The sequence below is a fragment of the Homo sapiens genome, chromosome 2 (genome assembly GCF_000001405.40).
Source record: "Homo sapiens chromosome 2, GRCh38.p14 Primary Assembly".
Taxonomy (NCBI): Eukaryota; Metazoa; Chordata; class Mammalia; order Primates; family Hominidae; genus Homo; species Homo sapiens.
In genome coordinates, this window is record NC_000002.12 from 203,417,263 (window position 1) to 203,432,540 (window position 15,278).

Below are 15,278 nucleotides of genomic sequence, written 5' to 3' on the forward strand. Positions count from 1 at the left end.
ATTTGATTTTAAAAAACTGATGGTTATCTATATTGTTCCTATTGGACATGCTTTTTATGAATGGTTTCTATCAGTGTTTTTCTGTTTTCCTTTGGCCTCAGGAAGATTATTTTTCCACATTATTATTCCTACCTCCATGCTTTAGAACATTAGTTTGTGTCACCTTATAATCAGATACTTCAGTTTAAATGTCTCCACATGAAACTTTCTTCCACAGAATAATGGTTTCTCAGTTTCTTTGCCAAGTAATATTGGGCATTTCTTTTAGTGAAAAGCTTCTTTGATATTAGCTAATTATGATGTAGCACTTTGGGATACAAGCTTTCAAATCCATCAAGACTAATCAGCTCAGAAAAAAATGTGTGCTGTCTGGAAGGAAATTTTCTTTTAAGAAAATCAAAGCTACTAACCCACTGAGTCTCAAAGCTGGCTACACATTAGAATCACTTGGAGAGCTTTTATAAAGAAATAATAGGCTTCCACTTTTGGCCAAGAGAGAGCAACAGTAATCAGGTGTACCCTCCCTCCTAAAACAGGAATTTTAAAACCCCACAAAATAATGGTTTTCAGACATTGAACAACAGGCACTGGAGAGAAGGAAATTAATTTTTTTCTTTATGTAGCTACTATAAATACCACATGTGATCAAGAAAGTAAAGGAGAACATGAACATGAGAGAGACGTGGAATATATCTTTAAAAAGAGAGAGAGAGAGAAAGAGAAACATAATATTTCTGGAGACGAAAAACACATGCTGCAGAAGAAAGCATTAGCAACCTTGATGCCATGACAATAGAAACTATCCAAAATAAGGCACAGAGAAGAAAGTGGAAAAAAAGGCAAAAAGGAAAACAGAGCAACAGATAATGTGAGACAAGGTCAGATAGTCTTTATGTATGTGTAATTGGAGTCCCCAGGAGATGTGAGAGGAAAAAGAGTTGAAACAATCATAGACAAAATATTTCCACGTTTGATGAAAACTATATTAGTTGTGTATTGCTACCTAACAAGTTATTCCAAAAATTTAGTGGCTTAAACAAAACATCCATTATCTCCCAGTTTCTCTGCGTGGCTCAGCTGGGCCCTCTGGTTCAGGGACTCTTCACACGGCTGCAATCAAGGTATCAGCTGAGGCTGCAGTGATCTCAGGGCTTGACTGAGGGAGACTGCTTTCAGGCTCACTCGTGGTTATTGGCAGGATTTAGTTCCTTGTGGGTTGTTGGCCTGACGGCCTCGGCTTCTTCATTGGCTGTTGGCCAGAGGCTGCCCACAATTCTGGATCACATAGGCTTCTCCGTAGGGCAGCTCACAACATGGCAGCTAACTTCATTAGAATGAACAAGCAAGAAGCGCCAAAAAGAGAATGCAAGCAAGACACTAGTCCTTTTTTCACCTTAACCCAGCAGCGATGACCTGTCATTTTTGCCATTTTCTGTTCATTAAAGCAAGTTAATAGGATTAGTCAACACTGAAGGGGTAGGGATTACATAAAGGCATGAATACTATGAGGCAGAAATCATTGGGAGCTGTTTTAGAAGTTGTCTCCCACAAAACTATAAACTCACAGATCCAAGAAGTTCAATAAACCCCAAATAGAAGAAAAGAAAATCTTGCCAAGGCACATCATAATCAATTTGCTAAAAACCAGTACCTTAGAAAATCTTAAAGATAATCAGAGGAAAAATGACATATTACATACAGAGGAACAAAGATAAGAATGACTGCATGGTTCTCATCAAAAAGCTGTTAAGTCAGAGAATTGAGCAAAATCTTCAAAGTAATGAAGGAAAATGTCAACCCAGTGTTCTTTACTTAGCAAAAATATCCTTCCTAAATTAAAGATCTTTTTTTTTTTTTTTTTTTTGAGACGGAGTTTCGCTCTTGTTGCCCAGGCTGGAGTGCAATGGCGTGATCTCAGCTCACAGCAACCTCCACCTCCCGGGTTCACGCCATTCTTCTGCCTCAGCCTCCCGAGTAGCTGGGACTACCGGCGCCCACCACCGCGCCCCGCTAATTTTTTTGTATTTTTAGTAGAGACGTGGTTTCACGGTGGTCTTGATCTCCTGACCTCATGATCCGCCCGCCTAGGCCTCCTAAAGTGCTGGGATTACAGGCGTGAGCCACGAGGCAGAGTCTCGCTCTGTCGCCCAGGCTGGAGTGCAGTGGTGTGATCCTGGCTCACTGCAAGCTCCGACTACCGGGTTCACGCCATTCTCCTGCCTCAACCTGCTGAGTAGCTGGGACTACAGGCGCCTGCCACCATGCCTGGGTAATTTTTTGTATTTTTTTTTTTTTTGGTAGAGACGGGGTTTCACCGTGTTAGCCAGGATGGTCTCGATCTCCTGACCTCGTGATCTGCCCACCTCTGCCTCCCAAAGTGCTGGGATTACAGGCGTGAGCCACTGCGCCCAGCCTGTGCTTTGTATTTTATGTGGTTTGCCTTGTTTAATATAAGAATGCTTTGGGCTGTAATCCCAGCACTTTGGGAGGCTGAGGCGGGCCGAACACCTGAGGTTGGGAGTTGGAGACCAGCCTGACCAACATGGAGAAACCCCGTCTCTACTAAAAGTACAAAATTAGCTGGGCATGGTGATGCATGCCTGTAATCCCAACTACTCGGGAGGCTGAGGCAGGAGAATCACTTGAACTCCAGAGGCGGAGGTTGGGGAGAGCTGAGATCGCCCCATTGCACTCCAGCCTGGGCAACAAGAGCGAAACTCCATCTCCAAGAAAAACATGCTTTGAAATGTTAGCTCTATTGTAATTCCCATTATATAGTTGAATAAAAAGAAGCCTAGGAAAGTTAAGTATGTACTGTAAACTATTAATAGTTAAGTGTTAGAATTGGGATTTGACTGGGTGGTATAACTCTAGACCCCACACTCTTAACCATTGTCCTAAACGTGAGCTCTGGCATCTGGCAGACCTAGGATTGAGTCTTGGCTTTACAGTTTATGAGCATTAAGTCCTCCCTGGAAAACTTTTTTACTGCCCGTTTTGTATCTCTTAACTTTTGTAAAGCCATCTATTCTTTTGTTCTTCTGGCTCAGTGATACAGCTTTTAGCTAGAAGTATAAATGATATATAGGAATTGTCAGATAACATTTCTGTCTTCACAAGACTGTGACAGTCCCTTTTTTTTTTTTTTTGAGACGGAGTCTTGCTCTGTTGCCCAGGCTGGAGTGCAGTGGCACGGTCTTGGCTCACTGCAAGCTCTGCCTCCCAGGTTCACGCCATTCTCCTGCCTCAGCCTCCTGAGTAGGTGGGACTACAGGCACCTGCCAGCACACCCGGCTAATTTTTTGTATTTTTAGTAGAGACAGGGTTTCACCATGTTAGCCAGGATGGTCTCAATCTCCTGACCTTGTGATCCGCCCACCTCGGCCTCCCAAAGTGCTGGGATTACAGGTGTGAGCCACCACGCCCAGCCGACAGTCCCTTATCTGGTTCATCTTCGTACCTCTAAAAGTCAGCATGGATGCTCTATTAATGATTGTTAAAAAATGAATAGTGCCATTAATTCTTTCTGGGGAATTCCTAGAAAGCTTCTCAGAGAACATGGCGTTCTTGGTGCCTTGAATGATGAATAGGAGTTTCTCAGGCAGAGAAGAGAGAAAGGAAGGGCCTTCCAAGCTGAGGGAATCACGTGAGTGAGAGGGCATGGCTGTTTGGGGCAGAGCAGTGTCCAGTGCATGAGGGTGGGGGTGGGTTGTAGGGAGAGAGGGTGATATGAGCACGCAAAGGGAATAAATTGTAATTAGGTGGTGGGTGGCTAAAAATGACAATGCGAAGGTGTTGGATTAAAAAAAAAATCTGGTAGTAGAGGGAAATTATGGAGGATTTTTAAAAAGGTTAATGATAATATCCATCTACTTATGTAACTTTTTTTGGAGATACCTGATAATAGTGTAGAGTGCATTGGAGAGGAAAAGTAGGAGTTGTAAAGACCATTTTGGATAAACTTTGAAGCAAGGGATAATGGCCTCAACCAAGGTAGTGGTGCTGAAAAGATTGTTTACATAAATAAGCAGATACAAATAGAAGGATTTTTCAAGTGGCATTGTAACTGCACTTTTCAAAGTTATTTGCCAAAAATCAAATAACGTATCTTCAAAAATCATGTTTGATGATGTATCATCAAGGTCTTTCTTAAATTTTGTTGAAAGCAAAGGAATAAGAGCCACCTGATTTGCAAACGGATTGAGTTACTCAGTGGAGTAATTCTTTTAATATGAGCACCATTATTTTGAATGGTCCCTTTGGCACCCAGTGTTTTGTACTTTAAGACAGTGCACCACTGTGCTTTTTTTAAGTAGAAGGACAAAAAGGATATAAAAACTTTTATGACTGCTTGACTGAAGGTATGATCTCAAGCAGATCAATTTTAGGAAGCAGTACTTAAGATTAGAAAATCTAGAAAGAGGCCAGGCATGGTGGCTCACGCCTGTAATCCCAGCACTTTGGGAGGCCAAGGCCGGCAGATGACAAGGTCAAGAGATCAAGACCATCCAGCCAACATGGTGAAACCCCACCTCTACTACAAGTTCAAAAATTAGCTGGGTGTGGTGGTGCACGCCTGTAGTCCCAGCAACTCAGGAGGCTGAGGCAGGAGAATCACTTGAACCCAGGAGGTGGAGCTTGCAGTGAGCCAAGATCACTCGCCACCGCACTCCAGCCTGGCAACAGAGTGAGACTCTGTCTCAAAAAAAAAAAAAAAAAAAATCTAGAAAGAGAGCCAGTTGCATGTAGTGGCTCACACCTGTAATCCCTTAAAGTGCTGTAAAGCACTTTAAGAGGCTGAGGCCGGCGGATTGCTTGAGACGAGGAGTTCAAGACCAGCCTGGGCAACATGGCGATACCCTCGTCTCTACAAAAAATTAGAAAACTTAGCCAGACATGGTGGTGCATGCCTGTAGTTCCAGCTACTCTGGAGGCTGAGGTGGGAGCATCACCTGAGCCCAGGAGTTTGAAGGCTGCAGTGAGCTGCGATTGCACCACTGCCTGGGGACAGTAAGACTCTGTCTCAATAAAAAGAAAAAAAATATCGAGAGTCCCTATAAACTGTCTGCCACCCACACTGCTTAGAAAATCTCAGGTACCCTGAGTGATAAATGTAATCAATTTTAAAGATGGGTGCACTAACTGGGGCGGTGACTATGATGATGGAGAGAAGTCGAGTGTTGGTATTTGGGAGATTTAGAAGGTGGAATTAACAGGACTTGGGGATGTCGGGGAAGGTGAGTGAGGGGAAGGCAAAGATGACTCCTAGTTTCCTGGCTCCACAGAAGCGTAGTAATCAGATAACTGGGAGAAGACACTGTCATGGAAGCCATGGAGGAAAATGTCAAGAAGCAGGCAGAGGTAATCATCATTGCCAAACACTACAGGAACATTAGACAAAGAACTGAGAAGAGGCTCAAAAGTAGAAGGCCAGTTTTTTTCAAGTGAATAGTTTCATTGGAGTGGTAGGGGCAGAAGGAATATGGCTGTATTAGTTAAGCAGCATTATTTTCATTGAAACAGCATCTCCAGTGGGTTCTAAAACATTTCTTAGAATACATTAAGTGGTTTAACCAACTCTTCATTGATAGTGTCCAGGTTAACTTTGCTCTACCTCAGGACAGGTTATAACATAAATTCCAAAGTATGTTAAATGTTTTGCTGGCTTAGGATGAACTTTTTTCCATATAAATAAAATGATGTCAACTCACAATATGTAATTTAATACAAACAGTATATTGAAATGGATAATCTTACTAGCATTTTGATTTTTCCAGTGGCTTGCTAGTTTAGGGTACTTAATTGTTAGGTGTGGTTGCTAATACCCTACAATATTTGGTGGTCAGTCTTTTTAGTTCAGATCAGTCACTTCTATGTAACATGCTCCTTTTGGGCCTTTTTGTTTTACATTGTTATTTTAGTATCACCTTAATTTTTCCCCCAATATGTATTTAAGTTACCTTTATTACTCACTGTGTAACTGAATAATATAGAATATAGATGTATTTAGAAGTATCCAAAAAGCTAGGCCTTGTGTTAGGCGCTAGGGATACACAGAGATGAGTGATGGGCCCTTACCTCCAGGAGTTTATAGTGTAGAGAGTTTTATGTTTAGATTGCTCCTCTTTGTTTCAATTTACTATTTTAGGAGAGAAAAAATCATCTGGGTCCTTTTTTTTCTGAGACGGAGTCTCGCTCTGTCGCTCAGGCTAGAGTGCAGTGGTGCAATCTCGGCTCACTGCAACCTCCGCCTCCCAGGTTCACGCCATTCTCCTGCCTCAGCCCCACGAGTAGCTGGGACTACAGGCGCCGGCCACCATGCCTGCTAAATTTTGCATTTTTAGTAGAGGCGGGGTTTCACCATATTGGCCAGGCTGGTCTCAAACCTGACCTTGTGATCTGCCCACCTTGGCCTTCCAAAGTGCTGGGATTACAGGCGTGAGCCACCGCGCCCAGCCCAATCTGGGTCCTTTTCTGCTGGCATGGTACCATTATTCTTTGCTTATCTTTAACTCTGCAGCATACTTCATATAAAATTATAGGATTAAAATTAAAAAGAGAATCATTTAAGCTAAGAAGTTTTTTTCAGTTTTACAGACCTTCATAAAATATTCTAGAATGTATTCAATTGAAATGCTAAATATGAACAATGTACTTTGAAATTTAGAATGTATTTTTACTTTAGCAGAAACATTTAGAAGAACAATGTGTAAGTCCTTTTCTGTTTCAGTCATAACTGCACAAAAACCAGATGTCTAGCATTTTAAGTTTTTTCTTACATGTGCTTTATCAGTTCCCCATATGATTTTGATACTATGCGTGATATACATGCATAATTGGAAAAAGTGACTTTCTTCCCTATTGCCAAAACCAGTTTTCCAGACTAAATAAAATCTAGACAGATTTTACATTTCTCAACATCGGTATTTTGAATATTGGTGAAAACACAGATACTTTATTACACCGCTTTAGAGTTACTTTGATAAAAGTTTGTTGCACTAAATCAAGAGTATTTTGCTTTTTGATGAATGGCTTTACAGTAAAGAATTAGATGAAGTAAACTGCTGGTGTATATCTTTCCCTGGAGTGAAGTAAACTACTGGTGTATATCTTTCCCTGGAGTGAAAATGAATATTCATTTAAAAATTACTTATCAGGGTCTCGTTCTGTCACCTGGGCTGGAGTGCAGTGGTACGTTCAGTGCTTACTGCAGCCTCAACTTTCTGGGCTCAAGCGATCCTCCTGCTTCAGCCTCCCAAGTAGCTGGGACCACAGACGTGCACCACCATGCCTGGCTAATTTATTATTTTTATTTTTTTAGAGACAGGGTTTTGCTATGTTTCCCAGACCAGTCTTGAACTCATGGCCTCAAGTGATTCTCCTGCCTCGGCCTCCCAAAGTTCTGGGATTATAGGTGTGAGCCACAGTGCTCAGCCAGAAAGTGAATATTCTATACAGCATATTTCTGATTTTTGAAAAAGTTAATTTTAAAATAGTGAATACTAATTTTGGCAAAAGAAAAAGCTGAACAGTTGTTAAAACTCTCAGCTCTCTACCATTATAAACAGTCTCTGGAATCATGTTAAGTGTAAATTCTATCTAATCTAGTTTCTACTTTTGATTTGTTTTGAGACAGTCTCACTCTGTTACCCAGGCTAGAGTGCAGTGGGAAAATCACGGCTTATTTCAGCCTCAACTTTGCTGAGCTCAGGTGATTCTCCCAAGTAGCTGGGACCACAGGCACGCGCTACCATGCCAGGCTAATTTTTTTTTTTTTTTTTGTATTTTTTTTTTGGTAGAGATGGGGTTTTGCCATGTTGCTTAGGCTGGCAATTTCTACATTTTAAAGAAGAAAATGAATGTAGATAGAGCTTACTAACTTTCCACTTCTAAGCATCTCTGTTACAACAGGCTTCATATTCTCTTCTGAATTACTTTTCATGGGTTTGCATTTCTTTTTCTTTTATTTTTCTTTTTTGAGACAAGAGTCTCACTCTGTCACCAAGGCTGGAGGGAAGTGTTGCGATCTCAGCTCACTCAAGTGATTCTCTTGCCTCAGCCTCCCAAGTAGCTGGGATTACAGGCGCCCACCACCACGCTTGGCTAATTTTTGTATTTTTAGTAGAGACGGGGTTTCACCATGTTGGCCAGGCTGGTCTAGAACTTCTGATGTCAGCAGTCTGCCTGCCTTGGCCTCCCAAAGTGTTGGGATTACAGGCGTAAGCTACCGCACCTGGCTGGATTTGCATTTCTTTAAGCATCAGGAATGTTGTCTTTCCTTAAAAAAACACTAGAAAATATTAGGTTGACTAGAAATGCTAAATATTCTAAATTGTATTTTCTGGGTTTTTTTGTATTTTCTTATATTTAAACTTGTATGCCATTTAACTACATTTGATTGTGTTCAGGCATTTGGTTATATATTGAGAAATGCACACTGATCTCTTCCTAGCAAGGATCTTCTAAAGTATTTTCTGACCAGGTGCAGGTGGCTCATGCCTGTAATCCCAGCACTTTGGGAGGCCGAGGCAAGTGGATCACCTGAGGTCAGGAGTTCAAGACCAGCTTGGCCAACATGGCAAAACCCCGTCTCTACTAAAAATACAAAAATTAGCTGTGCGTGGTGGTGGGCGCCTGTAATCCCAGCACTTGGGAGGCTGAGGCAAGAGAATCGCTTGAACCTGGGACATGGAGGTTGCAGTGAACCGAGATAGTGCCACTGCACTCCAGCCTGGGCGATAAGAGTGAGACTGTCTCAAAAAAAAAAAAAAAAAATTCTGGTGTTCCTACAATATCACTATAATGGAAAATATTCACAATTTAAGGAAGCTATTTAATTTTTATTAAAACAGGCCAGAAACAAATTTTCTTTAGGGCACATTATATCAGAAGTCCCTGTTGTAGTTTGTTTCTCATTGATTTATGTGAGGCACAAGGTTGCATGAGAAACTAACAAAGACAGTGTGTTTGTCTTGGAACAATGGATAGGTGGAGATTTCATTGAGTGGTATAAAATAGGTACAGAAGATGAAGAGGTTGGAGCAAAGGATAATTCTTCAAGTGGAATTGAGGATGTTACAGGGCATCCCAGTATAACTAAACTGTTGAAATTGATATAATACTTGGGAACCAGAGATTATCTGGTTGAAATAAGATAACAGTTGAAATAACCACTGAGATAATGACTCAAAGAGCCAAGTTACCAAGTGATTTAAGCAATGAAAATCACAGGAGGGCTTATAGGTATCTGATTTTCTTGTCACTTTTAGTCTGTTATTATAGTTATATTAAATTGGTGACATAGTGCAGCATATGTTTTGAAAAAATATATGTAGCGGACTCCCATCATTCATACATTTAACTTGGGGAAATTGAACCACCATTCTACTTAGCGAAGAGGCATAGGCTCCAGAGAGAGTGAGAAAGGAGACAGAAATCTGCTGTTCCATTAGTCTGGTTTCTCACTTGACTCTCATAGTGTATCTCATTGCCCTAGTATAATTCTAAGGTAAAGAAAAGCTTTAAAAAAAAAAAAAAAAAAACCACAATATGGTATCTCAACACAAACTCAAATGAAGAAACAGCCATCTTTCTTGATTCTAGGATTGTGTACCTCTTCAATGAGGTACTTCCCTGTAGGCTCTTAAAAGGTCATCAAAAGCACATTTGATTAAATGTGCTTTTTCCCCATTTGTACTCAATTTAGAGCCTAACATCCCTAGAAAATGGAATTTCATTGTATATGACTGGGTATTACTTAGAAAAAAAAACATGTAAGTTTTGGTTGGTGTTTAGAAAGTCACCATGTTTGAGTGCTACAGGATTTGGGAACAGATAGCTATTCACTGGCTTGGTTCTGTCTTTCTAGGAATATTACTGTCTTTCACATCCTGTTTTGTTTTCTTCCCTCCTAGTTGTGGCAATTTATGACTATACAAAAGACAAGGAAGATGAGCTGTCCTTTCAGGAAGGAGCCATTATTTATGTCATCAAGAAGAATGACGATGGTTGGTATGAGGGAGTTATGAATGGAGTGACTGGGCTTTTTCCTGGGAATTACGTTGAGTCTATCATGCATTATTCTGAGTAAAGCTCAGCAGGGCTGTGCTTGCCTCACAGGAATAGTCAGGTCTTCCCAGATTATCTGAAGGCCCTGGGGATTCCACTCCAGTAAAGTAGAATGAAGGATACAAATGATAAAAATTACACTTTTTTTTTTGGTTTATTCCCCAGTATTAAAAACAAAGCAAGCTGAGTCTGAACAAATGGATCTTTCTGCCATCATTTGTACAATGCTGAGCTGTCTGGATTGAAATAAAATGACCATTTTTATGTATGTCAAAGGTATAACAGCATAACTGTGTAGCCAAAACAAAATCAGATTAAGACTGATTCAGAAAAATCTGGGATCTTTCTCAGGAATACTGTATACCCTTGGGATTTCTCCTCCTGCAGAATCTGTGGCATTGGATGTTCTTCATTGCCTGTGCTAAGGGGTTAACCTCATGGCCCAGTGGGTACCCTAGCCCCTTCTTTTCTTCCACTTGTATGAAGAGGAGGGAACCAACATTTAAATACCACACTTAACCATTTTTACAATTATTTCAGATGGCTTTTTTCCTCTGTGACACTGTAAATTCTGCATTCTCTCAGCACTTGAGTGCACCAAACGAGTGAATGCTGAACTCACTTGCATCCCTTCATGTTTCTGTTTGTGGATTATAAGGATGATGAAATGTGAAAGTCTCCCAACACTCTGAGGGTGGTGAACGATTGCCACCCGTTTGATTTTAATGTGCTGCTGCATGAGACTGCATTGTTGCTAATGGCCAGTGTACCCAGATGTGAAGTGTGGTAGGCTGGTTCATATGTGGAGGTGGGTGTGTGAAGCTAGACACGAAGGTCCCTAAGGTTCTGAAGAGACTTGAACTGTGGAAATGCTCTTAGCAGGCATCCCGAACCCCTGCTTCGGTGCTGTTTTGAGGAGTAGGATCTTGGAGTTCAGACCAACTATGACTATCATTTCCTTCACTATCTAGAAAAACGCTATTCTACTTTGGAAGAGAATAGTAGTTATTTTCAAGTCTCCTGACAGTCACTGGGAGTACAAGGTTTGCTAATGTGCTCTCTGGACGTTATTAATGGCCAGTATTAGTTGCTGCTGTATTACTGACTCGCTTAGCTGTAGAAAGGGTAATACTCTCCTGATTTTGTATGATTGGACTCTTAAGTAGCTGCTGTTAGTCAGAATTAAAACCCATCTCAGACTAAGAATATAATGAATAAGATTAATAGGCCAAAATATGTATCTAATCACATTGATAAAAATTAATATAACTGACACAATAAAACACATTTCCCCCATCTGTACAATAAATACAGCTTCAAATTCAGTGGAGTCTGTAGGGCAGATAACTTTAATCATCACTACTGTAGTCAGTATAAGAAATGCTGAAAAAAATCCAGGAGGGCTTGTCTCTTTGTGGGTGGTCACTGTGATGTTGGGCCAGCTCCTGTTCAGGTCCAGAGCTGCTAACGTGGGTTCTACTCAGTCCCAGTGACTTGGCCAGAATAGAGCTTTGCCAGGTAACTGCCCTGTGCTAGGTGAAAGGGGAAAAGCAGTAGCTGGATATATTTCAAATGAGGTTTTGAACAAGTTCAGAAAGTGGAACTTGATTGAAAAGTGAACAAGTGTAGTAGTGTGTGAGAAAATTCAGATGGTGTCGGATGCAGAAGTTAATATTCCACTTAATGTTATCTGAGCATTAAAAATCATCAGCATTTAACTGAGACCCCACTATAGAGTTTCCTTATCAAGACTTTTTGGTTTTAAAGTTGTTTTTAATGCATTGCAAGTTACAATAGCTATTTTGCTTTTAGATTTTTCCCAGCACTTTGTATTTATTAGCTTTCATTAACTTGCCTCCAGTATACATTCCACTTCGTGCTTTTCTTAGGTCATTTCTACATCCCTTATTCCTTGTTTTCCTGCAGTGTAATGGCCCTGAATGTCCTCTGAGCCTTCAGCTCCATTATGGACCCAAACTAGACTATACTTGGATAAGTTAAGCTCTTCTTCGTGTACTGGTCTATAATTAGAAAAACTGTTTTAAATTAGATGTTCCCATTATTTATTTAAACAGCTTTTTGCTGAGAAAGCTTAGTGGATTAATGAGGCAGAGGGTGTTTTGAAATCCAATAAATAGTTCCCACAGGCTGGGTGTGGTGGCTTATGCCTGTAATCCCAGCACTTTCGGAGGCCGAGGTGGGTGGATCATGAGGTCAATAAATTGAGACCATCCTGGCCAACATGGTGAAACCCCATCTCTACTAAAAACACAAAAATTAGCTGGGCGTGGTGGCGCACACCTGTAGTCCCAGCTACTTGGGAGGCTGAGGCAGGAGAATCACTGGAACCTGGGAGGCAGAGGTTGCAGTGAGCCGAGATTGTGCCACTGCACTCCAGCCTGGTGACAGAGCGAGACTCCATCAAAAAAAAAAAAAAAAAGTTCCCACAGCTCACCACTACAGAAGCAGGGAAGACAACTATGCAGAAAACAGAGTTAGTGGCGGTCAGCAGGAATGCAGCTGGTCTTTTGGACCCCTACGGGATGGGGGCAGTGCAGAAGACACTGGTGAAGTCCTTTATACTGAAGACCTGTGGTTGGGAGCAGGGGTAGTCCATGGGTCTGCTGATTTTTTTTCCCTATTTAGTACTAATGTGTGTGTGATCTTTGTTTTACAAACAGTACCTTTTGGGTTTTCTGCATATTTTATAATTTTTGTACAGTTTTGAATTCTATAGATTGTCTTGGAAGGATACTGTGTGATGGGTCAGGCACACAGTAATTGGAGACTTTTAATGTATGTAATATTTCATAGATTGCATGCTATTAATCATCTGTGAGGGTAGTATTTTTTGTTTTATTGTAAGTTTCCCTCTTTTTTTATAAATTAAAAGATGGTTGGTATTAGGAATTTCAAATGAATGCAGAAAATCTTACATGCTGTGTACTATTAATATTATAACAGACGATCCAAGTCCAAAATCTGACCAATAAAGCAACCATTTTATCAAGATAGAGGGATTCTAATGGGAGAGGGGATTCTTCCCTCCTGAAGTTTGTGTGTCCAGTCCCCTTAAAAAAAATGAATAGTTGTCTTTTCTTGTCATATTAATACTCGAAAGTCCATGGTGGTATTAATGAAAGTACACTTTATTGTTGCCTTTGAACTTACGGCCAAGGCAATAAATCAGAAACAAAAATAGTGCCAATGTGTCAAAATCGACATCTGAGAGATTCAGCCTCCCATTTGGAATAAATATGAATCTTCTAAGCTATCTTGTTTAATATTTTCCATCATTTAGCTACTTCCTATCTCCCTCAGAGGCGCCTGCTGTTCCCATTTTAGAGTTGACAGTGGCCTGCTAATTTTGCTATGTTCCTAAAAGTTACTGGGTGTGAGACATTTTCATCCCCTCCTTTTTCCTACTGCTGGTGTTTATTATCCAGCTAGACAATATTTTATGCATATTTACCGTGATGTCTGGACCGTACCTGTGCTCCTTGGCAGTTTATGTTGAAGATAACTAAAGATTTTTCTCTTTGGGAGGCATCAAAATGATGGTAGTTTGCTTTTATCTTTTTATGTTCATTTTCTTTTAGTAGGTGACCTTTCTGCATTAAGAACTGTTTTTATCTTTTACTACCTTTTCTTTTCTCCTTTGTGGAGACAGCATGACATGTCCTGAAGGTCACCTTTGCCTTTGAAAAAGGTTTGATGGAGGAATTCACAGGTGACTGACAAGTCTTTGAAAAGAATGGGATCTGCTCACTTCTGGTCTTTTTGGCCGGGAACTCCTGATTGGTGTTAAGGTGGTAATTTCCCCCATATAAGATTTAGAATCACTGAGTTTGAGCTAGATGAAATTTTTAAAATTTCTGGTTGTCTCATTAGACTGATGAGGTGAGTTTTCTTCTTCATATGAACAGCTAGTTAATAACAGCAGAGTTCTCACTCAGTGCTCAGTACTTAATTTTCCACTGCACCACAACTGTCTTAACTAAATGTGCTGTATTTTTCTTTAAAAGTTAAGAGTTCTATTTGGTGTTTTCAGGAATATACGTGAAAAGACATGCCATGTTTTGGTAAATACCATCAGAGTTGTGTAAAGGCGTGTACTAAGTGCAATCTTAATTTGTGGAAATAATCTTCATTTACCCCTCCTAAAACTACACTCAGTATAAACACTTTCCCATAAGGTGTGTGCAGTAAAAATGTTATATTACTCCAACACTGGCAGGAGCACAGCACAGCAGCCTTATTGGAGAGAGCCTTATAAAAGTGATTAAATGGAGGCATTGAGCTCATTACCTTTAAGTTTACTTTGTGCTGACCTTTGTTCCTGTTTTGAGAATCTCATATAATTATTAAAAAAAAAAAACAATTAAAACGAAACGGCGGGGCCTAGCTGTGTATAAATGATCCTTGCTGAATATCTTAAGGTTTTTTGTAAGAAAAAAGAAAAACCAACAAAAAAAGCTTATTTTCACATTAAAATGAAACCTCTTTTGCAACTTAAGAATTCTATGGAAAAGCAGTTTTTATCATATTTTGTGTCCATGCACCATTTTTCTTAAAATGGCTTACAAAAAAGAATGTAAACAATTTGTGATCTGGCCAGTTGTACTTTTAGCTCCCAGAGGGAGAGTTGGTGGTATTATGAGTTGAGTAAAAACCATCCAGGGGAACTTGAGGGAGCAGTCTGTTGCCAGTAATGTTCCTTGTGTGCCATTAAACCACCTCCAGATGAGTGGAGGAACATCACTTTTTAATTTTTTAATTGTATTTGGAATTGTTGCCGTGTACTAAGAACTTGACCTAAATAAAATCCCACAAAGTATATTCAGGTGTCTTGTTAACTTATTTATATAAATAACCTCTTTTTCTAAGGTGGTATCTTGAGTTTACGTGTTAGGGATAATCTGACTTTTCTGTTGCTCTAAACCAGGGAGCTGCCTTTTATTACTGAAGAAGTCGTCTTTTTAAATTTTCAAAGATTTAAAATGTTGAGCTTTAAATTTGATCTCAAGTTTCTTCCCTGAAGACAGCTGTTCTAATTAAGAACTTTCTAATCCTGTTTTTGCTCCACTCGCACCTGGGGTTTTCTTACCACTTTTCTCCAAATCTAATTCTGTTAATGTACAGTTTTTTTAATTCAACAGACAAACACTGAAGATGGGTGTTGACTAAAAAATATTGCAGACTGGTCAGAA

General features: G+C 40.1%; 1 protein-coding gene across 123 annotated transcripts in view; it reads left to right on the top strand.

Moving 5' to 3' along the window:
- Positions 1-14,907, top strand: part of ABI2 (abl interactor 2) — a 103,776-nt gene extending 88,869 nt beyond the window's left edge. For 97 of the 123 annotated variants that reach the window (NR_164713.1, NR_164705.1, NR_164714.1 and 94 more), the window contains one exon: positions 9,915-14,907. Coding sequence is in view for 108 of the 123 variants with exons in the window: in NM_001375719.1 (NP_001362648.1) it covers positions 9,915-10,090 (176 nt within the window). In the remaining 15 variants the exon portion in view is untranslated. Of the gene's footprint in view, positions 1-3,541; positions 3,647-9,914 lie in introns of all 123 variants that reach the window. The other 26 variants (NR_164707.1, NM_001375753.1, NM_001375672.1 and 23 more) reach the window with 3 other exon arrangements.
- Positions 14,908-15,278: the final 371 nt, after the last annotated feature.